The sequence below is a fragment of the Homo sapiens genome, chromosome 2 (genome assembly GCF_000001405.40).
Source record: "Homo sapiens chromosome 2, GRCh38.p14 Primary Assembly".
Lineage (NCBI taxonomy): Eukaryota > Metazoa > Chordata > Mammalia > Primates > Hominidae > Homo > Homo sapiens.
In genome coordinates, this window is record NC_000002.12 from 135,807,848 (window position 1) to 135,834,214 (window position 26,367).

General features: G+C 47.1%; 1 protein-coding gene and 1 long non-coding RNA gene across 3 annotated transcripts in view, besides 1 other annotated feature; one reads left to right on the forward strand and one right to left on the reverse strand.

The window, feature by feature from the left end:
* Positions 1-26,367, reverse strand: part of LCT (lactase) — a 49,335-nt gene that overhangs the window by 19,998 nt on the left and 2,970 nt on the right. For both annotated transcript variants that reach the window (NM_002299.4, XM_017004088.3), the window contains exons 2-8: positions 25,264-25,343; positions 21,746-21,829; positions 16,054-16,156; positions 14,173-14,251; positions 9,494-10,214; positions 4,464-5,109; positions 596-2,146 (exon numbers count right to left, since the gene is read on the reverse strand). In NM_002299.4, the coding sequence (NP_002290.2) occupies positions 596-2,146; positions 4,464-5,109; positions 9,494-10,214; positions 14,173-14,251; positions 16,054-16,156; positions 21,746-21,829; positions 25,264-25,343 (3,264 nt within the window). The remainder of the gene's footprint in view (positions 1-595; positions 2,147-4,463; positions 5,110-9,493; positions 10,215-14,172; positions 14,252-16,053; positions 16,157-21,745; positions 21,830-25,263; positions 25,344-26,367) is intronic.
* Positions 9,543-10,742: an enhancer, noted in NCBI's record as "BRD4-independent group 4 enhancer chr2:136574960-136576159 (GRCh37/hg19 assembly coordinates)". NCBI's record gives its function as "activates an origin of replication core promoter dependent on BRD2, P300/CBP, MED14 and CDK7 cofactors, and independent of BRD4, by STARR-seq in HCT116 cells {active_cell/tissue: HCT116}" and the evidence as "EXISTENCE:reporter gene assay evidence [ECO:0000049][PMID:35650434]".
* LCT-AS1 (LCT antisense RNA 1) lies at positions 12,344-15,240 on the forward strand. The gene is made up of 2 exons (NR_045486.1): positions 12,344-12,792; positions 13,828-15,240. It is a non-coding gene; the product is annotated as an LCT antisense RNA 1 (long non-coding RNA).

The window sequence follows — 26,367 nt, forward strand, 5'->3', positions numbered from 1 at the left end:
CTGGGCACAGTGGCTCATGCCTGTAATCCTAACACTTTGGGAGGCAAAGGCAGGTGGATCACTTGAGGTCAGGAGTTTGAAACCAGCCTGGCCAACATGGTGAAACCCCATCTCTACCAAAAATACAAAAAAATTAGCCGGGCACGGTGGCCACTGCACTCCAGCCTGGGTAACAGAGCAAGACTCCATCTCAAAAAAAAAAAAGGAAGTTTGAATTAACACAACTTTCTTGTTCTGGGGTGCATGGGATAAGCTCTACGAAGGCAGAAATTTGTGTTTTGTTCATTGCTGTATTCCCAGCACCTAAAATAGAACTTGCTCAGTAATGAATGAATGGACCCATGACAATATGAATATTCTGCTAGGGACCCTGTGTGTGTAGTGTTTGTATTTTTCCTCTGCAGAGACAACCATAGCCTTTTTTCCCCCAGCTTCTCAAGGAACATATAACCCCCAAACAGATAAAGAATTATGGAGTTGGGACCTAAGAGAGAGATCTATTGATGGTTCATAAATCATCCCGGCAAAACATTTCAGGCATATGACCCAGGGAATGTTGGAAGATTTCTTTAAGGGGAACTGAACCCTCACACACCTTTCAAAGCCTCATTGATGTAGGTTTTGTGGTAAAATATCCTATCAGTATCCTCCGTGTTCGGATTGGTCAGCCCCACTCCGTTTTCGGTGATGTAAATGGGGATGTCACCATACTCTTCCTTGATCCAGTTCAGCAGCCTTCGCGTCCCCCAGGGCGCAGCTCTGTTCATTGCCGTGGAAGGCCACGAAGGGTCCTCCTCCTCAGCCATCTCCTGGTCGTCTTCGTAGGAGGGTGGGTTTAGCCTGGGTGTTTTGTGCTGCACGATTCTGGAGTAGTACGTGTTGAGGCAGAAGACGTCGGCCGTCGCCCTGATGAACCTCTTCTCTTCCTCAGTGAAGCTTGGCAGGCGGGAGGTGGCTAAGTGCTGCAGTTCACTCCTGTTCCCCACTTTCCACTTCATGGTGTCAGGATAGTCTCCGTTTCTAAAAATGGGGTGAGCAAACCAGCCCAGGGAGAACTGCAGCATTCGGTCAGCGGCTTCCACATCTCTGGGGACCCCTGGTGACTTGGGCTCTGCCCAGTGTGTACTGAGGCTCAGCGAGATGACCCCCTTCTGCTCCTGCCTGTATTTCTCATCGTACGTGTGATAGACTCTGGCATGGGCTTTGATGACGGCGTGGGCTATCCTATATGGTGCCCAGCCTGGGTCCTTCACCCCTGGGGGAAATTCCCCTGAGCCATAACCTAGCCATGCCAGGTACATGGGCTCATTAAAAGTCATCCAAAACTTGACTCTATCACCAAAGGTCTGGAAACAAAAGTCTGCGTAGCTGTCAAACAAGTCAATCAAGGCAGGATTCTCCCAGCCTCCGATATCCTGGAGGGCCTGGGGCAGGTCCCAATGGAACAATGTCACCATGGGAAAGATGTTGCTTGCCACCAAGCCATTGATCAGCCTGTTGTAATAATCAACCCCATGACTGTTGATAGAGCTGTTTCTCCCAGTTGGGAAAATCCGAGACCAGGAGATAGAGAAGCGGTAGGCCTTCACCTTCAAAGCTCGGAGCATATTCAGATCGGCATCCAGCTGGTGATAGCTGTCACAGGCGATGTCTCCAGTGGCATTGTCTTTCACATTGCTCCCTGGTGTGTGGGTAAAGTTATCCCAGATGCTGGGGCCTTTGCCATCGGCATCCCACGCGCCTTCAATCTGATAAGCGGAAGAGGACACGCCCCACAGAAAGTCATCCCGAAACGTCCCGTGGTAGAACAAATCTCTTTCGAACTTGGGTTGGCTGGAGAACTTTTCCCAAACGACTTTAGCCTTGGAGGGCACCTCAGATGGAAAAGTGAAGGCTCTGACTTTGGAGGGGAGGTTTACTGTATTAGGTGGTAGCAGTCTTTTTGCCCCCTTGGTGAGGAAACCGTTCTTTTCTATGATGCTAGTGAAAAAGTAGGCAGATTTCCTGGGAGTCCTTGACTTGCTGCTGTCGCTGAAGTTGACGTGGTGCAGGCCAAACCGCTGGCTGTAACCAGAAGGGCCTTCGAAGCCATCAATGAGGGAACGAGCAATGTAGGAACGAACATCCACAGAGTCTTCCTTGATAGCTGTGAAGAAAAATAAAAATTAGATTTATTTATTTATGGATTTATTTAATTGAGATGGGGTCTCACTGTATTGCCCAGGCTGGTCTCAAACTCCTGGACTCAAGTGATCCTCCCAAGTAGCTGGGACTGACTACAGGAGTGAGCTAGTGCACCATTATTTTATTTATTTATCTTTTAAAGACTAGTCAGTGCAGTAGTGAGAAGGGGGAGAAGGGTATTAGAAGCTGTTTGATCTGTAACTGGTTGTGAACAGTCAACTGAGATAAGTTATTACCTCGGACCAGCGAGGACTGTTTTTCAATAAAATAGTTTTTATTGAAAAATTAGAAGTATAGTCTCTGTTACTAATGTTGCTTTTAAAAAGTGTTCCTTTTGACATGAAAGTTTTGGGGGTGACTTGGGTTACCCCCCAAATGTTCATCCTTTTTCCTCCTCAGAATGGATAAAAGGAAAATCCACAAGATCCTCACAAAACATCAGGCCACTTTTGTGGCCATAAATCTCAAACCAAAGGAGCATCCCCATCTTCAAATAAATAGTGGAGGGGATGTGTCCCATGTGTTACCACCAGGGTGTCTTGGTTTTATATAAAATACATAAATCAATCTTTTAACAATATGCTTTTGCTTTTCCTTGTTTATGTTTAGTAATATTGACATTAAGTGACAACATATTTCATATTTTAAAAAAGAAATAAAGCAGCCTGGGCAACATGGCCAGACTCTGTCTCTATTGAAAAAAAAAAAAATGTGGCCAGGCGTGGTGGCTCACGCCTGTAATCCCAGTACTTTGGGAGGCTGAGGCAGGCGGATCATGAGGTCAGGAGATTGAGATCATCCTGGCTAACATGGTGAAAACCTGTCTCTACTAAAAATACAAAAAAATTAGCCGGGCGTGGTGACGGGAGCCTGTAGTCCCAGCTACTCAGGAGGCTGAGGCAGGAGAATGGTGTGAACCCAGGAGGCGGAGCTTGCAGTGAGCTGAGATCGCGCCACTGCACTCCAGCCTCGGCGACAGAGCCAGACTCCGTCTCAAAAAAAAAAAAAGAAAAAAGAAAAGAAAATTAGCCTGGTGTGGTGGTGTGCACCTGTAGTCCCAGCCACTTGGGAGGCTGAGGTGGGAGAATCGCTTGAGCCCAGGAGGTCAAGGCTGCAGTGAGCTCAGATCAGGTCAGTGTACTCCTCAGAGCAAGACCCTGTCTAAAAAAATTAAAATTAAAATAAATAAATAAATAAAGCCTAAAACATATATTCCCTGATACAGTGCATTGAATGGTGACCCCCGAAAGATATGTCTAAATTCTAACCCGTGGTGCCAGTGAATATAACCTTATTTGGAAAAAGGATCTTTGCAGATGTAATTAAGTTAATGAGCTCAAGATAAGAACATCCTGGGTTAACTGAGGACTGACCTGTGAGATGAAATCTATTTGCCATACCTTTCCAATTGGAATAAAAAGACATATGAAATAGTATGTCAGGTAAGAATGAGACCGTAGATGTGGATCAATTGGATCAAAATCAATGACATAGAATGTAGATTTTATAGCCAATTAAAGGAAATGAAGACCAGTGTGGCTGGAGCAATGAGGGAAGAGTTAATGGGTTGGAGTCCGGAGGATCACTAGAGCCTAGGAGTTTGAGGCTGAAGTGAGCTATGAACATGCCACTCTATTCCAGTCTATGTGACAAAGCAAGACCCTGATTCTAAAAAAAAAAAAAAAAAAAGATAATGAGGCTTGATGACTGCATAGGACTCAGATGGGCAGAATGTAGAGGGAGGTATTCTAGGCAATAAGGACACTGGGTCAGGCATGGTGGCTCATGCCTGTAGTCCCAACACTTTGGGAGGATTGAAGTGAGAAGACTGTTTGAGCCCAGGAGTTTGAGACCAGCCTGGGCAATGTGAAGAGACCCCATGTCTAAAAAAAAAAAAAATAAGCCACGCATAGTGGTTTGCACTGTGGTCCCAGCTACTCAAGAGGCTGAGGTGGGAGGTTGGCTTGAGCTTAGGACTTTGAGGCTGCAGTGAGCGATGTTTATGCCACCGCACTCCAGCTCTCCAGCGGGCAACACAGCAAGACCCTGTCTCAAAAACAAAACAAAATAAAACAAAAAAACCACAGGAGCAAAGACGTGAATGACATGAATGAACCTTGGGAAAGAGAGTTAGGGAGCTGACGTGAAGGACTCCCCACTATTATGCTTTCTTTGGCTCCATTTCTCTAGGAGACTTTCTTTGTCTTATTAAACGAAACTTTGAAGACTTGGAGAAGTACCACCCACCTTCCAATCACTGGCACATCCATTGTTCTTACCCTTGAGCACCTCATTGATATATTGATTGAAGTAGTCTACTCTTAAGGAATCATCAAAGAGATTTTCACTTTCCCCTATGGGCATGCCATTCCCGGCAAGGTATATTGGAACTTTTCCTCTTGTGTATTCCAGGGATACAAACTGCAACAGCCTCCTTATCCCCCAGGGCACCACACGAATCCAAGAGGATGAGGTCTGGGGCCACACATGGTTCACGTGTTGGGAGAAGCCTCCAATGGTATCATAGCTAGGGATGCAGGTGTTTTGTGGGGCGTTGCTGATGAGGCGGGAGGTGTAATGCGACAGACCCAGAAAATCAGCAGAGCCTTTCAGGAGCTGCTTCTCTGCCTCTGTGAACTCGGGGAGTTGAGCCACAGGATGGGAGCACTGTCTGTTCATCTGTTGGATCTGGGTCCTCAGGGTGGCTGGGTAGTCTCCATCCACAAAGACGGGGTGTGCAAACCAGCCCAGCATGAAGTGCAAGAAGCGCTCAGAGGCTCTCAGGTCCTCAGGCCTCTCTGGAGACAGGGGTTCTGCCCAGTCTGAGTTCAGCACAATGCCCACGTGCCCCTGCTGCTGTGGGCGATGATGGCTGTTGTAGTGGTGCCAAGTTCTGGCATGAGCCTTGAGGACCAAGTGAGCCACCTTGTGAAAAAGTAAGAAGGAAATACAGTGATTAGTAATAATAACAATGACAACAACAGGACTAATGAACCAATAACAAGTCAACAACAATGTCAACAAGTCAATAAAGACAACAACAACATTGACATTGTCAATATTGACAACATCAGCACTAATGTTAACATCAAGTCATCAACAAATAACAATGTTGACACTAACATCAATGATGTTAACAAGTCAATAATAAAGTTAACAAGTTAACAACATAAACAACAAGTTAAGACTGATACTAACAATGTCAACAAGTCAACAATGTCAAGAAATCCAAACCAATGTCAACAAGTCAATAATATCAACGATGTTGATGTCAACAACATCAATACCAACATGAACGGCATCAACAAGTGAACACCAATGTGAAAAGGTCAACAATATCAAGTCAACAATGTCAACAAGTCAACACCAATATCATCAACAAAGTCAACAAGTCAACAGCAATTCTTCAAAATTGTCAACAAAATAACAGCATCAACAACCACATTAACAATAACAACTAACATATATTGGGCACCTACTACTTAATGAATTCTCTCATGTAATCCTCACCACAACCTCATATGGCAGGTACAATTATTATCACCACTATAGAGATGGTGAAAACAAGATCCAGAGCTGTGTAGTAACTTCACAAGGCCAAGAGTCAGGAGTAAAGTGAGAACAAGCCCCTGGCAGTCTGATTCCAAGCCTGTTACTGTTACCCACACTGCTATTCTGCCTCTGTCCTTAATAAGTGCTTTTTGAGAAATTAGTCCATGGGGAGGATTATTTTAATTAGCACACAAGGGAGAGGAGGGCTCTTTCTTGCTTATTTGTTCTTCTTTCTATTTAATGGAATCTCGGAAGAAAAACCAAACTAGGAGTTTCTTTGTAGACTTAACTCATGCTCTTACAAACAGCAACAGCTTTTTGTGGGAAGTAGGGGCAAAAGGAGGGTGTCTGAAATATAACAAGCCTAGATTTAAATCTTGACTCTGTTACTAACTTGTTAACTTGGACAATTTATTCTCTCAACTTCAGCTTACTTGTTGGCAAGAAGTGGGTAATTATGGATCCATCTGGGATGATTAAATACGTGTATATAAAGCATTGAGCAGAAACTCAGAGAGCAGGAGTGAGCTTGCTAAATCTTAGCTTGCTTTCCTTTTTCCTTTTTATCATCTGAAGAGGATGACACTTACCTCTGAAGAATTTCATGTCAAAATATGCCATAATCACTAAAACGCCTGGCTGCTTCTCACATCCCAAATATTCGTCTTTAGTTGAGTTCTAAACTCGAATGGCAAACTGTGCTCCTTTCCCAAAAGCAAGGATGTCTTTCTTCTAAATTAGCCAGTGTCAGGAAGGGAGCTCAGTGGAATATTAGACAACCATCAAAAACAGTCATCACAACTGCTTAATAATAGGGAAAAGTGCTAATGACATGATATCAAGTAAACAGTGAGCAACAATCTGAGGTGCCCTGTGACAACATCATAAATGCAAAGAAGCCAAGACTGGAAGGAAATACTCTAAAATAATAAAATACCTTTTTTTTTTTTTTGAGATGGAGTCTCGCTCTGTCACCAGGCTGGAGTGCAGTGGCGCAATCTCGGCTCACCACAACCTCTACCTCCTAGGTTCAAGCGATTTTCCTGCCTCATCCTCCAGAGTAGCTGGGACTACAGGTGCCCGCCACCATGCCTGGCTAATTTTTGTATTTTTAGTAGAGACAGGGTTTCACTATGTTGGCCAGGCTGGTCTCGAACCCCTGATCTCGTGATCCGCCCGCCTCGGCCTCCCAAAGTGCTGAGATTACAGGTGTGAGCCACCGCGCCTGGCCCAAGACATTTTTTTCTTTAAATTTTTTCCTTAATAGTTGCTATGAACTGAATTAGTTCCCCCATCAAAATTCATATGTTGAAGCCCTAATCCCCAATGTGATGGTATTTGGAGATAGGGCCTTTGAGGGGTGATTAGATTTAGAGGAGGTCGTGAGGGTGGGACTCTCATGGTGGTGGTATTAGTGTCCTTATAAGAAAAGATACCAGTGAGTTCTTCCAACCACCCCTATATGAGGACAGCAAGAAGGTGGCTGCCTGCAGGCCAGGAAGAGAGCCCTCACCAGAACCCAAACATGCTGGTCCCTTGATCTTGGACTTCCCCAGCTCCAGAATGCTGGGAAATAAATATCTGTTGTTTAAACCACCAGTCTATGGTGTTTTGTTATTGCAGCTCAAGCTCACTAAGACAATGGCATTCTAACATTGAACTAATAAATAAAGGGAAGAATTGAAGGAGAAGAGTGAAGGGGACTTTCTCATCAAAGTCTCTGTAAAGATATCTCAAGAGCCACAGTTCAAAGGGGAAGAAAAGCCTAAGAAGAAAAGGTTTAGATAAGTTTTACAACAAGGAGTGAAACAGAAGATTTCAAACCTTCCATTTTCAGAAGGTGGGTGGTGGAATGGCTCCATATGTGCAGTCACTTGCTGCTCAAGAGCTGAATGGAAACTCTGACTTACGTGCTACAATGTTTGACATTTCATTGAGTTATTTATTCATGATGTTCCAGCTCACCCTAGTAATGGTCTTTTTGAAGAGTTCTGTAATTTTGCTACGTGTGTTAGTGTCATCTTCCCCAAAAGGTTATAACATGTCCAGGGCATGGCTGTGACCCCTCTTTAACACCTAGCACGGGACACAGGAAATAGTATTATTATTATTATTATTATTTTTGAGATGAAAGTCTCGCTTTGTCACCCAGGCTGCCCAGGCTGGAGTGCAGTGGCATAATCTCGGCTCACTACAACCTCCGCCTCCCAGGATGAAGTGATTCTCTTGCCTCAGCCTCCCAAGTAGATGGGATTACAGGCACCCACCAACATATCTGGCTAATTTTTGTATTTTAGTAGAGACAGGATTTCACCATGTTGGCCAGGCTGGTCTTGAACTCCTGACCTCCCAGGTGATCTGCCTGCCTTGGCCTCCCAAAGTGCTGGGATTACAGGCGTGAGCCACCATGCCCGGCCGGAAATACTCATCTTTAAGAATGGAACCCAAACAGTGACAGGGAAAAGGCAGACTAACATGTCCATCCTGAAGAACGCTGCCAAAGAAAGCTGGTGGGTTTTCTGGGAGATTCCGAAGAAAAAGGGAAATAATGGAAAAGACCTATAGCCATTTAAAATTTTGTGCCAAGTGTATACATCCCCTTCTTGTTGAAACGATGCCCTGACTGGCGTCTGGAAAGCCAATGCCTCCTTGCCTCTTCCCTCTCTGCCTCCTCAGCTCTCAGTGAGCGTATTGAGGAGTAAAGCATGGGTCCTTGGCCCACACCAGTCAGTTGTCACAGCCTCCTGGCCAGGACCCAGCAATGAGTTCAGGGTGGGTATGCGACCCACTGAGAGACCATGAGACACAGGGACACTTCTGTTGGGAAGGACAGAAAAGAGCCGAGCTTTTTTCCCTACTGGTCATGAAATAACAGAAACAGGGCTGCTGCCATCTGGCTGCAAAGTAGCCCAAGAATAAAGCCAACGAGGGGAACAGGAGAGGAACTGGGTCCTGGTGGCATCGCTTGTGCTCTGATCAAATTCCACCCTGATCAGGCTAAATGAAGAATTTTCAACCTCCTGAATGTGTAAATTCTCTCCTTGCTTAAGTCACTTTGGGTTGAGCTTTCTGTCACTTGTCACTGACATGAGGAACTTGATTTGGAGTCAAGAAGACTCGGACTCAAATCCTGACTTCCACCTGGCTACTCACTAGCAATGTCATCATGACCACATTGTTTATCCTGTCTGAGCCTCACTCATCCATCAGTGCTATTCTGAGTATGTAATAACTATTATATTTTAAAAGTACCAGTAGAGGGTCTGGACAAAATAAGGTGATTAACAATTTTTTTTTTTTTTTGAGACAGGGTCTTGCTCTGTTGACCAGGCTGGAGTGCAGTGGCAAAATCTTGGCTCACTGCAGCCTCTGCATACCAGGCTCAAGCGATCCTCCCACCTCAGTCTCCTGGGTAGGTGGGATCACAGGCGTGCAACACTATGCCCAGCTAATTTTTGTATTTTTTTTGCAGAGACAAGATTTCGCCATGTTGCCCAGTCTGGTCTCGAACTCCTGGACTCAAGAAATCTGCCTGCCTTGGCCTCCCACAGTGAAGAGATTACTGGCATGAGCCACTGCACCTGGCCAGGTGATTAACAATTTAATTAACAATTTATGGTTCCTTCCCTCCCCGATTTCCTTTAAAGAAAGAACAAAAAGTAAAGGCTTGCTGATGGAAGAAAACAGAGAAAATGACTTTCTTCCAGCCAATGTCCTTTCTCCTCCAATTAGTAGGAGCTGCAGGGTTGGGAAGTACCTTAAAAGAGGCCACTCCTGGGTCAGAGATGCCGGGAGGGTGCTGGCCGGTGCCATAGCCTGCGTAGCTCATCACCCACGGCTCATGGAAGGTCACCCACAGCTTCACACGGTCCCCAAATGTGGAGAAGCAGAAGGCCGCATAGTCCAGGAAGGCATCCACCACGCTCTCATTCTGCCATCCACCATGATCCTGCAGGGCCTGAGGCAGGTCCCAGTGGAACAGCGTGGCCATGGGCTCGATGCCCGCATCCTGTAGCCTGTCAATCAGCTTGTTGTAGTAGGCAACGCCTGGGAGGCTGGGGCTGCTCCCGTGCCCCATGGGGAAGATCCGGGACCAGGAGATGGAGAACTTGTACACCTGAGCCCGGAGGCCGCAAAGCAGGGCGACGTCAGAGGCTACCTTGTGGTAACTGTCGCTGGCCACCTCCAGCGTCGCTTGGCCCTCAGTGGTGTTCAGGGGCCTGCGTGGATCCCAGATGCTCACCCCTCTCCCACCCTCGGCCCAGCCTCCTTCCACGTTAAAGGCTCCTGTGGAGGCACCCCAGAGGAAGCCTTCAGGGAAAGTATCCTGCAGGAAGGCATCCCTTTCCGCCCTGGACTGATTGGCAAATGCTTCCCAGATTCTCTGATAGGCAGAGGCAGGAGAGGAGTCCGTGGTCTCGTGGTCCTGCTGCTGGTCAGGCTGAAGGGCCAGGCTGCCAGTCAGAGAACAAGACATGCTGCAGGATTGAAGGGACAAAAAGGGACATAATAATGAATGACGCTGGCAGTTACAAATGCCCCCTACGGATGACTACTGTGTTTAATCAGAAAAGATTCCAGAAACACTGAGTCAAAAGTCATATCTGCAAAGCCATGGGCAGGAAGTAACTGGCAGATGGGAAAATTATTATTATTACCCCTTCTGAGGTGAGTGATTCTTGCTCTTTCATGGTTAAAACAGGAACAATGCTACTGTTCTCTGTATTAGATTGCCCTTGAATATTGTCTTCAGTGTTAGTACCATACTTTATTCTTCTTATAATTCATTATTTGTAAAACATAGCTAATAATAACAATGACTCCAATTTATTGAGCCTTGATTCTGCGCTGGCCACTGTAATAAGAATGGATGTGTATTATCTCATTTAATTTTCCCAACAAATTTATGAGATGGGTACTACAATGATTTATCCTCATCCTACACAGGAGGAAACTGAGACTAAAAGAAACGGGGGCTGGGTGTGGTGGCTCATGCCTGTAATCCCAGCACTTTGGGAGGCCGAGGCAGGTGGATCACGAGGTCAGAAGTTCGAGACCAGACTGACCAACATGGGGAAACCCCGTCTCTACTAAAAATACAAAATTAGCCAGGCGTGGTGGTGGGGGCCTGTAATCCCAGCTACTCAGGAGGCTGAAGCAGGAGAATCACTTGAACCCGGGAGGCAGAGGTTGTGGTGAGCTGAGATCACGCCATTGCACTCCAGCCTGGGCAACAAGAGTGAAACTCCGTCTAAAAAAAGAAAAAGAAATGGAAAACTTCCTGATTTCAGGGAGCCAGCAGCTATTTATCAGCTGGTACAGAAGTACACTGATGTGGACCAGTTGAATATCAGTCCTGGCTACTGCTTCCTTTCTTCATGCTGCTTGGATTTCTGACATAATGGCAGGAGCTCAAGCATCCATCCTGAACCATGAGGTAGAAACCTTGTTAAAGGTGACAAAGCAACAACAAAGGAGCCTGGATTCCTGGTGATTATGAGTAACTTCTCCTTGCACACAGCTTGCAGGTGGTGGAGCAGATTCTGTGCTTTTAACCTCATACACATACATGTTTATGTGCATGTATATGCATGTACATATGTATATGCATATGAAATAAAACATCACATAAAAGTGCATGCTGCATTTATACAAAATGTGGTCTGATTTTTCTATTTTATTCTAGTCCATTTTCCTCCCTCCCACTCTCCTTTCCTCTTTTTTCTTTCTTTTTTTTCAATTGTGATTGCCAACTTCTAAATTGAGTCATGTCATGCAGGCAGGAAAGCATGCATGCTGCAAATTACAGCCAGCAGAGGTCGGCCTTGAGGAGTGTGGCACATGCCTGGGGAAAAGGACGTGGAGTACAAGAGCATCTCCCTGTCACACAGCCATCGTGTGGAGAGCCGATGGCACCTATACCAGGCTGGCCCACAGCGCAGAACTGGGAGAAGTGACAGGAACACTGCACAGGGATCTTCCTCTCAAAAAGCGAAGCCTGGGGCCGGGTCACCCAGCAGGAGGCGTCTTCCGAACCTAAGAGCCTTCTGTTTCACTCAGCATCAACTCCCTGACATTTGCTAGATTAGGGGGAAAGGGAAATGATCCTTTCCTTCGTAGATGATCCCAAAACATATGCGACTGTGGATCGCAGCTGGGGATGTGTCGCGTCCCCTCGGTGCTCAGCCTCTGCGTATCCACGGTGCCCATAAACACAGCGTCCGCTGCTCCGAACCTCGCTCTTACCCAGCCCTCCTGGCCCTGACTGTCCTCCTGGATTGCATGAAGAGTTTTAAGGAAACAAATAAACTGCCCTGGGATGAAACAGAACTTGCTGTACAGGCTTGGAGCTGGGAACCCTGGGTTTGCCGGCCATGGAGAGGGATTTAGCACATGACGGCACCTCAGGCTCCACACCCAGGGCTCCTAAGTTCTCCCTTTTTTAGGGTGCAGTGCTGTGTGTCTCCTGCCACATTCTCATGTGAGAGTTGTTCAGGGGCCGCTCTGTCTCCCCTATAAGGTCTAGAATTCTGAAGGAGAAAACTACGTTAGTCATTTCTGAATCACTCCCCACCCACCGCCCCTGCATTCAGCGGGTTCTCCAACCACATCCTCCTGAGTAGGGGCCCCTGGCTGTCCGTTTAATGTAAGCCTGTGTTGGCCCTCCCCTTCAGGCAAAGCACCACCAAGCGCTGAGAGAATCTCCGAGCTGGTGTCACTTGTAATCACTGGCTTTTCAGGGAACCCATTTTATTACGGCTTCTTGAGTTTTCTTTTGTGAAGCCACAGCCAGTCCTTCTTGGCTGACTCCAAGTGTGGTCAGGAAGCAGTGGTAACCCATGTCTGTCTATTGCAAGTCTACACTGCCACACAAAGCCTGAGGTACAGCTGCTGCTGCGGGTCTGTTGATCTGAACTGCTGATTTGAAGTGGATTGAGAGGATGGAACAATAGAAGGAGGATATGGCTCAGGACAGTCAAGTACTGGAAGAGGAAAGGTACAAAGAGGTGTTGGCACTGAATGACCCTGAACAGGGCTGCACTGGAAATATCAGAGGTGAGTGACAAAGAGAACTCTAGTTGAAGGTCTGGAAGTCAATTATTGTCTCCAGCTTTTGTCCCACCCTAAGGGATGGTGCATGAACTTCATGCATGTAACATCCCTCCAGGAGCGCTGAGGTTCTGGGCAATTCCCAGTGCTGGCTACCATGCCATTCTTTTCTCATTCACTCAAGAGCGTATTGGGATATGCGTGCATGAAAGCAATGTAATTATGGGCACAACCTCAAAACCTGCTCTAATTTTTTTTTTTTTTGGAGATGGAGTCTCGCTCCATCACCCAGGCTGGAGTGCAATGGCGCGATCTCAGCTCACTGCAAGCTCTGCCTCCAGGGTTCACACCATTCTCCTGCCTCAGCCTCCCGAGTAGCTGGGAATACAGGCGCCCGCCACCATGCCCGGCTAATTTTTTTGTATTTTTAGTAGAGACGGGGTTTCACTGTGTTAGCCAGGATGGTCTCGATCTCCTGACCTCGTGATCCACCCGCCTCAGCCTCCCAAAGTTCTGGGATTACAGGCGTGAGCCACCGTGCCCGGCAATCTGCTCTAATTTTTTAAAGCATATCATTTGCAAACTTTGGCACTTGAGTCACTCAGTAAGATATTATTTACAACCCCACCATAGATTCAAACCTCTGTCCCTAGAATGTTGTCAAGTTAGGCATCTGGCTTGCAGCAACAGCTGGCTTTCCTGTCTATGCTGTCTCCTTCCAGGGAGGATGTTTCACCCTTCATATTGAGGAAATGGGCACAGAGAACCCATTTCTCTTACTCATCATGTAACTTCAGTGGGATGGTCAGATCTATCTTTAACCTGGCCACTCTTCCACAAGCTCACACTGTCTCCAGCAAGATCTTAAACTAGAAGGCAGGAGTTCAAATCCTAGCTGGTGCAGTGGCACAATCTCGGCTCACAGCACCTTCTGCCTCCTGGGCTCAAGCGATCCTCTGACCTCAGTCTCCCAAGTAGCTGGGACCATAGGCATGCACCACTATGCCTGGCTAATTTTTGTATTTTTGTAATTTTTTGTAGAGACAGAGTTTCACCATGTTGCCCAGCCCAGTCTTGAACTCCTGGACTCAAGCAATCTTCCCACCTTTGCCTACCAGAGTGCTGGGATTACAGGTGTGAGCCATCATGCTAGTTGCGCACAGTTGGGCGAACTGACAGATGAGAAAGCAGAACCTCGTGAGTCCCACTCAGTAAGAGACTCCCTACTTTCTTTCTGAGTCTTTGTTTCTCATCAATTGAATGGCAATAAACAACTTGGTGGCCCAAGAGTTGATGACAACAGTCCTATAAGATTATACATGTAAAAGAAACAGAGTATTCTACAAATATCAGTTATTGATAGTTCAATAGGCAACCTGACATTACCTTTTCTTGGAACTTGATGAACAACTCAGAAACTCATTAATATCAAACCCAATGGTGAGCACTTGGTCTTTATTTATGGCTGTAAGAGAAGAAATTGAATTAACTCTATGTAAATGCCAACTAAGAACATGCAAGTCTGAAATCAACAGTTTTCCTCGCTCATACGACACACCCAAACTCCAAGCAGTGGTTCCAAGCCCCTTTGGAAAATACCATGGGCTAACGACTTTAAAAGCTTAGAAGTGAATTCTACTTACTTATTACTTAAAAGTGGTTCTCAAACTTCAAGGTGAATCAAAATCATCTGTAGAGCTTGTTAAAACACAGGTTGCTGGTCCCACCCCAAGAGTGTCTGATGCAGTAGGTCTCAAGTAGGGCTCAAGAATATGCATTTCTAATGAGCTCCCAGGTGATGCTAATGTTGATGCTGCTGGTCTGGGGACCACAACTTTGGGAACAATTGATTTAGAAGAACTCAAAGATCAGAAAGGGGTGGAATATTTTTAAAATTGTGGTAAAATACGCATAAACAGAAAAGGTACAATTTTAACCACTTAGAGAGAGGTGGGATCTAAGAACAGAAATTGTTATGCCATCAAAGGTGAGTTCAGATAAGCATTATTAAATGGTATCTATGGATAAACTTCAGGGGCCCTGTGGAGCCAACCCATTGCTGGGATGGGGTCCAGGTGTGCTATGGTTTGGATGTGGTTTGTCCCTACAAAAACTCATGTTGAAATTTAATTGCCAGTGTAACATTATTGAGAGGTTATGGACTTTTAAGAGGCATTTGGGTCATGAGGGATCCGCCTTCAGGGATTAGTGCAGTCTCCAGGGAGTGAGTGAGTTCCCATTCTAGTGGGACTGGATTAGTTACCATACAGTGGTTGTTATAAAGTGAGGCTGCTTCTGGTGTTTTATCTGTTTGCAGGCACTTCCTTCCCCTTCCACTTCTCTGCCAGGTTAGGATGCAGCATGAGGCCCTCACCAGAAGCTGACCAGATGTGGCTGCCTGATCTTGAACTTCCCAGTCCCCAGAACCATGAGCTAAATAAACCTTTTTTCTCTATAAATTACGCAGTCTAGAGTATTCTATTATAGCAACACAAGACAGACTAAGACACAGTGGTAGAAAGAACACTACTGACTTCTCCCATACTCTGGCCTATGGACAAGAGTGACAGACAGACAAGAGTGAATATCAGGGCCCTCAGGCACATTCCTCTCTGCCCCTTCCTCCCTTCTTGCAGAGTCTCCAGTGACTGCCAGCCTCAATGCTATCATAGACCCCACCTTTCCCCTGACTTGATTGGACCAGAAGCAGCCTCCTGATCCATGGCCAACAATCAGATTCACTTTCAAGAATTTGAACTAAGAGACACTAGGAAGATGGCCCTTGAGCTGTGAGTCCTACACTTGAAAGTTCTTAGCATCTTGGTCAGGTACCCACCAGGGCCATGTGCAAACTGAGATAATGGGGACATGGAACAAGGGTAAGTGGAGAGGGCTGGCTGGAGAGAGACGGGCAGAGGAAAGCCCTGCCAAGAGGAGCAGAGATGAGAGACCTTGGAGGGAGAGGTAATAAAAGGAGGCAAAGATGATTTTCCATGCTTACAACTCACAGCTGAGGCCTAACTATCTTTATGTCCATAAGAGGCATCCTTGTGTCGAACCTCTCCTCTTTCTTGGGTCAATGGGGGATGGTTGCAAGGGACCATCAGTAGGAAGGCATAGTACACTAACCCAGTCTGGGGTGGGCTTTTATACTAGTCTTCCTCCCATGCTCCTCCTCCCATTGGAACCCCGGACTTTCAAGACTGCTACCTAGCACACCAGTGCACCAGATGTCACTCAAAACCTCTTCAGCAATGGCCCACTCACCTTCAAAAAGGCTGAAGAGCAGACTGGCTGGGTTCTTCATGGTGGAGGGGCAGTCTGGGAGTTTTAGGTTGAAGATGAAAACTTTCACTTTTGGCTCAATGGTCTGAAAAAGAGAAGGACCAGCAAGTGAACTGAAGCCTCCTGGAAAGCATCTTGATAACAGGGACAGAGTTTCAAGATGAGAAGCTGTGGCACTTACTCTGGCTTTGGAAATGACCTCTAAGTATCTCAGTTAATTAAAGGAGTCAACTCTAGACTCTGAAGGAGAAAGATCTACAATTTTCAATAACATAGTCTACCCTCCCCACCAACCCCCACCTTCACCTCTTCTTTCATCACAGGCTTACAGGGCACCTCTTAGAGCCAGGCACGGTGTTAGGATCAGGAACAAGGCCACTGCTCACATCCAGAGCCTGTGCTACTTAAGAAGCTTAGTTAAGAGGCCACCATCTATGGATGTCTGGGATTTGCTTCAAAATAATCCAGTTTGGTTAGCTGGGTGTGGTGGTGCATGCCTGTAGTTCCAGCTACTTGGGAGGCTGAGCCAGGAGGATCGCTTGAGCCCAGGAGTTTAAGGCTGCAGTGAGCTATGATTGCACCACTGCACTCCAGCCTGGGTGACAGAGCAAGATCCTGTCTCTAAAAAAAATTTTTTTTAATTAAAAATCTAGTTTGGGAGATAGAAGTTATAGGTTAGGTGAAAGAAGATTAGCTATGAGCCAATAATAGCTCTTGCAGCTGGAGATGGCTTCGTAGGGGTTCATCATTCTTTTTACTTTTGGATGTTAGAAATTTTCCAAAACAAAAAGTTACAGCAGCCCAGCGGGTGTGGTGGCTCACGCCTATAATCCCAGCACTTTGGGAAGTTGAGGCGGGCGGATCACCTGAGGTCAGGAGTTTGAGACCAGCCTGATCAACATGGTGAAACCCTGTCTTTATCAAAAATACAAAAATTAGCTGGGCTTGGTGGTGCACGCCTGTAATATCAGCTACTTGGGAGGCTGAGACAGGAGAATCGCTCGAACTCAAGAGGCAGAGGTTGCAGTGAACCGCTGCACTTCAGTCTGGGCAACAAGAGCCAGGCTCCATCTCAAAAAAAAAAAAAAAAAGAAAAAGAAAAGTTATATTAGCTGTTATCATTAAAATGGAAGCAAATGTAATTTCCTCTTCTTATTTCTAGCCATTTCAGTATCAAGGAAAACGTCTCAGGGCTGACATGCTGTTTGACTTCACTTTAAATTACCTTTTTTGCGGGGCTTGGAGTTTGGTCATTTTACTCACAGTAACTTTTTCCTCCTCTGAGCAACTAAAAGCTACCAAAAGATACCAATAGTAACCACTTTAAAAGGAGCCAGGCATAGTCTTTACTTTCTCATAGCCACCTGTGACTTTCTTTACAGATGGGGAGTCAGAAGCTCGAGAGGCCGAGCGGGTTGCCCATGACTGCGCAGTTAGTGGAGCTGTGACTCCACACAGTCCTCATCCCTCCCTGTGCTGGGTCAATGCAGTGGGGACAAATGACCCAGGGTGGCGTGCTTAGGGAAGCAAGGGTTTTCTCCTTCCTGAAAGACGGATATGCCATGAGGCAGCCGGTGATGTCCCAGGGCTGGAGAGCTAGAGGAGCCTCGGAGGCCCCCAGCCTGTCTTCTGCCAAGCGGAGAACTCCCTGGGAGCACAGCTTTTTCTGATAAGTGGATGGGGGACCTCCTCGTGTGCCTCCTGCAGAACCGAGAACCCTGGAGTGTGCCGCAGCTCTTCATTTCTGGGCTTGAGGCTGTTCTCAGGCCCTCAGACAGCTGTGTGCCGTTGGGGAGTGGCCGCTGAGGGCCCCTGAGGCTCAGAGAGGGCTGTGCAGGTGCTCCGGGGAGAGGGTGGGAATGGGGGCAGGTGCCTGCTCCTCCCTGCCCTGCTTTCGCCCTCTTCCCTCGCAGCCCACAGGAAGAGGCCCCTTCAAGGGGAGGGTGGGGTTCCAGGACAGGGAGGGAGGGGACACTGGGAAGGTGGGCAGCACGATTCAGGCTCCTGTGGACACAACTCAGCCCCTGTTCTCAGGGCAGGCTCAGCTGTTCTCCCTGTCCTGGGTGTGGTAACTGTGCATGGGAAATGCTACCAGGCATGAGACCACAATCCCAGGAAGGAACAGTGTGCTCTCCAGCTCAGGGGTTGTCAGCTGTCATTTCCGAATCTTTGAGGCTGCCTCTGAGGGGCCAACCCTACCCAAGGAAGTAAAAGGAATAGATAACCATTGCAGAACATTTATAAATGGCTGCTAAGTTTGTCCAGGGAGAGTTTTACTATTTGGCTGGCCAGCTACAGACTGAAGTTTCAGTGCTTTACCCAGACACTGGTAGAAGTGTCTTGAAAATGTGGTAGCCAGGTGCAGTGGCTCATGCCTGTAATCTCAGCACTTTAGGAGGTCGAGGGGGGTGGTGGATCACTTGAGGCCAGGAGTTCGAGACCAGCCTAGCCAACATGGTGAAACACTGTATCTGCTACAAATACAAAAAAAAAAAAAAAAAGCTAGGCATGGTGGCGGGCACCTGTAGTCCCAGCTACTTGGGAGGCTGAGGCAGGAGAATCGCTTGAACCCCAGAGGTGCAGGTTGCAGTGAGCCGAGATCATGCCACGGGGCACTCCAGCCTGGGTGACAGAGCGAGACTCCATCTTAAAAAAAAAATGTTGTGATGGAAAAAGGGAAGAGACTGAAAATCACATCCTCAAGTACCAGCCATGCAGTGCCTCTGCTGCCTGTCAGAGGCACGCCACCTCCGCACAACAGAGATGGTTTTAAAATGGCAGCTTTGTCTGAACCCATTAGCCTAGCAACAAGCTCTGGTTTAATTCCATGAGGAGGACAAAAGGCAGCTTTAGTCATCACAGGCACAAGCAGACCTCGAAGACCCTAGAGTGTTACGTAAGGCCCAGAAACCTTGTCAGCCAGCCCGCAAGCACAGGCCCTGGGCAGCAAGCAAGTTTAGGTTCAGGTGAGGCATTCACAAAAACAACTGAAACTGATCATATGTGATTTAAAAAATACCACCCTCATTATCATGTTCCAAACCCTTGGACTTCTTTTTCTTTTTCTTTATTTTTTTTTGAGACAAGTCTCTCTCTGTCCCCTGGGCTGGAGTGCAGTGGCGCCATCTCGGCTCACTGCAACCTCCACCTCCCGGGTTCAAGCGATTGTTGTGCCTCAGCCTCCCAAGGAGCTGGGATTACAGGTTCGTGCCACTATACTTGGTTAATTTTTGTATTTTTAGTAGAGACGGGGTTTCGCCATGTTGGGCAGGCTGGTCTTGAACTCCTGGCCTCAAGTGATCCGCCTGCCTCAACCTCCCAAAGTGCTGGGATTACAGATGTGAGACTTATTTTTCTTTTGAAAAGACAGTGTGGTGTCTTAGAATGAGAAAGCCCTAGTTCAAATCCCAACCCTGGAGCTCACCACCTTGGTTAAATTGTTTAAACCTTAGGGTGTGTTTTGAGAGGTTGAGATGATGTGAGAATGAAGTGCCTCCCAGGTGTCTGGGATAAGCAAGCACTAAAATAGCTGTTACTCAGATGTCTTTGTGGCTGCATCTGTCACCTTTGATTAGATCAGTGGTCCCCAACATTCTTGGCACCAGGGACCGGTTTCGTGGAAGACAATTTTTCCACAGACTTGGGGGAGGTAGGGGGGATGATGGGGATGATTTGGGGATGAAATTGTTCCACCTCAGATTATCAGGCATTTGATTCTCATAAGGAGCACGCAACCTGGATCCCTCGCATGCGCAGTTCACAATAGGGTTTGTGCTCCTATCTAATATGGTCGCTGATCTGACAGGAGGTGGAACTCAGGTGGTAATGCTTGCTCGCCTGCCACTCACCTCCTGCTGTGCAGCCAGGTTCCTAACAGGCCATGGACCAGTACTGGTGCTCCGCCTGGGGGCTGGGGACCCCTAAATTAGATCATCTTATTATTTGTAGATAACAAAAGCAGCAGTGTCTACTACACAGACAGCTAGAAACACACAGACATTGGGATAGGACTGGTGCTAATTTGTCCATTTCAAGCACTCTGCCTCAGGTAAAATGGAGGGTCCATGTAGCTGAAGCTCAGTTTGACATTCCTGAGCTTGGCCTTTTATTTTTATTTTTATTTTTGAGATGGAGTCTCGCTCTGTCACCAGGCTGGAGTGCAGTGGCGAAATCTTGGCTCGCTGCAACCTCCGCCTCCCAGGTTCAAGTGATTCTCCTGCCTCCACCTCCCAAGTAGCTGAGACTACAGGTGCGTGCCACCACACCCATCTAATTTTTGTATTTTTAGTAGAGATGGGTTTTTGCCATGTTGGCCAGGATGGTCTTAATCTCTTGATCTCATGATCCACCCACCTCGGCCTCCCAAAGTGCTGGGATTACAGGCATGAGCCACTGTGCCTAGCCAAACTTGGCCTTTAAAGGGATAATTCCTCAGGTAAACCATCCTCCTTGGTGACGGAGATGGTGGGATTCAAAACCACAGGTGAGTGTAGGGGGCTGCTCTGCCTCCCTCATGGGAGGCACAGGCTGAAAGCAGCGGGGAGTGGTTTTGTGCCCAAACCTGAAGAGGCAGGGGGTCCAATGTGGGTGCATACCAGTGGCCAGACATCCTTGGAAAGGCCCACAGGAAGGCAGCTCTCCAGGGTTATAGGAATACTGCCAGCACTCGGAAGGTGCAGGAGAAAACGTGGGCACCATCAGATAGACCTTGTCACAGGAGAATAGTTGGGACTCCAGGGAATGAAGCAAGTAAGTCACACAGCAGTGACCAAGCCTAAGAGAGAAACCTGGTAGTTGGATAGGAGGCTCCTAACACACTTTCTCTAATGAGCCCGCATCATTAGACTTGAGAAAAGCAGTACTGGGTACAGGAGGGAGTACTGAGCTTACTGGAAGGTCCAGACAGCTGGGATCTGATTTAGTAGACCTGGGTGTGAAATGTTTGTTTTTTTAAAAATGTGGTAAAATAGACATAAAGAAGAAATTTACAGGCCAGGTGTGGTGGCTCACGCCTGTAATCCCAACACTTTGGGAGGCCAAGGTGGGCGGATCACTTTAGGTCAGGAGTTTGAGACCAACGTGACCAACATGGTGAATCCTTGCCTCTACCAAAAATACAAAAATTAGCCAGGCGTGTTTGTGTGTTCCTGTCATCTCAGCTACTGGAGAGGCTGAGGCAGGAGAATCGCTTGAACCCGGGAGGTGGAGGCTGCAGTGAGCCAAGATCACGCCACTGCACCCCAGCCTGGGCAACCGAGGAAGACTCCATCTCAAAAAAAAAAATTACCATCATAACCATTAAATGTATAGTTCAGTGGTGTTAAGTGGACGCTTATCGTTATGGAACCATCACCCCCATTGATGAGTTGCCTTTTTAAAACTCAGAATGAACCCCAGAATCTCAATTCTCGGCAGATTTCTACACAAGCAAGCAGAGGATCTATGTAAATATTCACCTTAACAAGCTAACCCTTGTATCCCTTCTAGGAAAGACTGCCTAACATCCGATGTTCTCTAGGGATGCTTGCAATGGAAATCTCCCCAGACACAACTCAGCCGGTCTCTGCTGTTGATGGAAGTTCAGTTTATGCAGTAGCCAAAGCATTAAATGTCTAATCTGCTCTCTGAAACCTTCGCTGCATTCATCATTAATGTGGAAAAGGGCTCAAATTACCTGCAATTTACTCAGCTTCTGCCGCAGACTTGCCTCATTTTGGCATTCATAAGACAAATCAAGAGAGAGGAAATCGACCGTGTCCTGAAAATAGTAGTTAAATAGGGTCATTAGAACCTAAGCACTGTCAAGACTAACAGCCTCTCAGAAGTACGCTTTTTTGTTTCTCCCCTTATCACTAAACCAAATATTCCAAAGCAGGATTTTCCAAAGGAAAAGATGGAGATGGAATGAGAAAGTGTGTGTGTGTGTGTGTGTGTGTGTAGGGGGCGGGGGGTGCCTGTGCCTGTATGTTGTTGGGAATGCATCACCTATGTGCTCATCCATGCGCCTCTGTGCTCAGCACACAGAAAGCACGCAGTGTTGATGGCTAAATGAATGCGTGAAGGAGTGTGTATGCCAGAAATGGGAGGCAGTTAGAGGCCAGTGCTGCCCCTGGTGCTTCCTCCATAGACCCTCACATTTGGCCAGGATGGGGGTGGTGGAGCCTTCAGCCACGCATGGCTCCACAGTCATCCCTGTGAATCCTACCGGGTGTTTGGTTTTGGTTTAAATTTCAGGCCACCGTTTGAAGTCCACCCCCAGTTATCCCTAGCCAGGCCAAGAGCTAGGGCCTGTGGAGTACGCACTGGGGACTTCCTCTTTAGCAGAGACAACCCTCATGGTCCTGGTCGTCGACACCCCCATCCACACTTCTGATGAGGATGTCCCCTCTGCCCTGTCTCTGGCCTGCATGTGCTCAAAGAACTTCAGATTCACAGAGTCTACACAGGACCATGCCAACACCCCCAGTGCTGCGCTCCCCTCCACGAGCCTGGCTGGCCGTACCTGTCTACCCTTGGCCTGATTAGATCATTACCTGTCTTATCCCTCCCACTGATCATCTGCTTCTTCAAGACAAGGACTAATGGTTACTGTCACCTGGTCAGAACCAAGTGCTCTGTGAATGCCTAGTGTTCCATTATGGGAATGCTAAGCCTGTGGAAGTTACTTATATCCTACTGCTCAAGGTCTTCGCTAAGGTCTGATTGCAAAAGTTCAAAAAATTGCAGCCTCAGGCATAAATGGGTTAATAAGTGGTTCACTACTGGCTCCCTGTTTCTTTCTCAGTCAAGTTGTCATCAGTGTTCACTAAAGACCACACTGGCAGGTATCACTCCAGCATTCCCTGCCCACTCTCGCAGCTCTTCCTTATGTCTGTCAGTTCTGCACAACACATCGTCACTGAGTTCCTACCTCTGAAAGTCACACTGTGTGGGGATGGTGGGTAGGGATTCACATTTAGAGATAAATAATATCCACAGAGGTTTACACCTTTAATAGGGAGGGTTAGCAAATGCACCAATCACACGAGGAGAAGACAGAAATTTAGAAGTGCTGTAAGAAGCCCACACCAGTGGTTCTCATGCCTTGCTGGGGATTAGACTCACCTGGGGACTTCGGATGCCTGTGCAGGCCCAGGTGGGTCCCACCACATTAAGTCTTGGTCTCCGTGCTCTCTCCTAGCTCTCTAGGTGGTTCTGATGCCCACTCAAGCTTGGGAACCACTGGTCTAAAGCAATGGCTAAGGGTCCGGGTGGGGACAGAGTGCATCAGGGTGAGTGAGGGAGTGTTACTGAGCGAGGCCTCAGCTGGAGAGCACAGTTACGTGTACATTAACAATGGAGAAAATTTTGCTGGAAGGAGATTTGAGGAAGGCAGGAAGACAGGAAGGACGTCCAGTAGGGGATGCAGGAGGGTAGGAAGCAAGCATAGCACTCACATGGACAAAATAGGAGGTGAGGCCAGAGAGAGACAGAGAGAGAGGCCCACACGTTCATGCACTGGAGGGTCCTGTGGGATTCGTCCCACTCGGAAGTGTGGCTTCCCAGCAGGTAACTGGTCAGAACTGTGCTTTTGGGAGATGACCCAGAAGCATTTCACAGCATGGACTGGGGCAGATAGACCAGTACAAAGGCTATTTCTCGACAAGCATTTTTCTGATCAGCACTTTGGTCTCCTGCGTTCATAACTGATAGCAGTTATCGCCCTCTGTAAACTAATTTAGGTGCCATTCTGGCCGTGCAATCAGCCTGGGAGTTGTCCCTCCAGAACCTTATCAGTCTTGGTTCCATCGTGTTTGAAATGGAAAATCTGAAGACCAGACCCTGACTCCTGGGGCCCCCATCAACGCACAGACGCCAATGAGCAGCACAACATCTCTACAGCACCAGGGCGATGCTGCAGAACTACGGAGACCGGCGGTGGTTCCCATGGCTTCCAGACTGCCCAGCTGCCCAAGGGGGCCCAAAGCTGTTCACTTCCCAGATTATTTTAATTTTTCTTTTAAAAATTATAGTTAAAGGCTGGCGTGGTGGCTCAAGCCTGTAATTCCAGCACTTTGGGAGGCCGAGGCAGGTGGATTACCTGAGGTCAGGAGTTTGAGACAAGCCTGACCAACATGGTGAAACCCCATCTCTACTAAAAATACAAAATTAGCCGGGCGTGGTGGTGCACACCTGTAATCCCAGCTACTTGGGAGGCTGAGGCAGGAGAATCACTTGAATCCAGGGTGTAGAGGTTGCAGTGAGCCGAGATCGTGCCACTGCACTCCAGCCTGGGCAACAAGAATGAAACTCCATCTCAAAAAAAAAATAAAATAAAAAATATAAATTATAGTTAAAAAGTGATAGTTGGCTGGGTGTGGTGGCTCATGCCTGTAATCCTGACACTTTGGGAGGCTGAGGTGGGAGGATTGCTCAAGGCCAGGAGTTGGAAGTAGAGGCTGCAGTGAGCTGTGATCATGCCACTGCACTCTGGCCTGGGTGACAGAGCAAGGCCACAAGACCCTGTCTGTAAAAAAATAAATAAATAAAAATAAAAAATAAAAAGTGATAGAGGATATACGTACATTTTTAATTTTTTTTTTTCAAGACAGGGTCTTGCTGTGTCACCCAGGCTGGAGTGCAGTGACATGATCACAGTTCACTGCAGCCTTGACCTCCAGGGCTCAAGCAATCCTCCCACCTCATCCTCCCGAGCAGCTGGAACTACAGGCATGCATCACCATGCCTTGCTAATTTTTGTATTTTTAGCAAAGAAGGAGTTTTGCCATGTTGCCCAGGCTGGTCTCAAACTCCTGGCTCAAACAACCCTCCCATCTCCGCCTCCCAAAGTGCTGGGATTACAGAAGTGAGCCACCGTGTTTGGCCAGGTGCACATTTTTGAAAAACCCCTTTACCCTAGTACCTGTTTTGCCATAATCTCATCTCTTATCCTATAAGCTATTTTGGACTCAAAAATCAGAGCCAGCAGAGGCAAGTGGCTTCTTCCTGCAGGGAAGCTGACACTTGACCAAGCAGGAGCTGCAGCTTCAAGATTTTGTTTTTAAGGTAATTATGAACCTGGAGAACATACACCACTCATTCTGAGGCATTTACAGAAATGTCAAACCAATAGACCAAAACTTCTCTTGTTTTTAAAAAATTAAAATCAAACTCTCCTCAGATGTTACAGGTATATTTTTGGGCTGCTGTCACCTGGGCAAGCGCAGATATGGGTGGTTCTAGCAGGAGCTCCGGGATATCTTCAGCTCGCAGGACAACAGAGAGTTTTCCGCCTGAAACCAACCAGAGACACGAACAGCAGGTGAGCGAGGGCAGGAGGCTCTGACTGTGGAAACCACTGGGGGATTCATTTCCTATGGACCTGAAGAAATCATCCAAATGACTTTACTCTAGCTGAAAGATTTTAGAAGACAAGGTGGCTTAAAAAAATAATGTTCCTTTAGAGAGTGTTTTGTGAAAATCAGGACTATGAAATGCAGAGCAGTTGGAGAGTTGGCAAGGAGAGAACTCCTTCCTAAACTTCTTTTTTTTTTTTTTTTTTTTTTTGAGACGGAGTCTCGCTCCGTCGCCCAGGCTGGAGTGCAGTCGTGCCATCTCGGCTCACTGAAAGCTCCGCCTCCCGCGTTCACGCCATTCTCCTGCCTCAGCCTCCCGAGTAGCTGGGACTACAGGGGCCCGCCACCACGCCCGGCTAATTTTTTGCATTTTTGGTAGAGACGGAGTTGCACCGGGTTAGCCAGGATGGTCTCGATCTCCTGACCTCATGATCTGCCCGCCTTGGCCTCCCAAAGTGTTGGGATTACAGGCGTGAGCCACCGCGCCCGGCCATCTTAACTATTTTTAAGTGCACAGTTCAGTATTATTAAGTATATTCACATTGTTGTGCAACCAATCTCCAGAACTTTTTCATTTTTCTGAACAGAAATTCTACTCCCATTAAAGAGCTCTCCATTTCTCCCCTACCCCAGCCCCTGGCCTCTGCCATTCTCCTTCCTCTCTCCATGAATTCGACTGCTCTAGTTTCCTCCTATACATGGAATCATACAGCGTTTGTCTTTTTGTGTCTGGCTTATTTCACATAGCATAATGTCCTCAAGGTTCATCCATGTTGTAGCATGTGATGATTTCTTCCCTTTTTAATAAATGTGGAGTAATATTCCATTTTATGTCTATGCCACGTCTCGTTTATCCATTCATCCATCAGTGGATATCTGGGTTGCTTCCACCTTTTGGCTATTGTGAATAAGGCAGCTATGATGTCCTAGTTTATTTTTCATTTATTTTTGAGACAGAGTC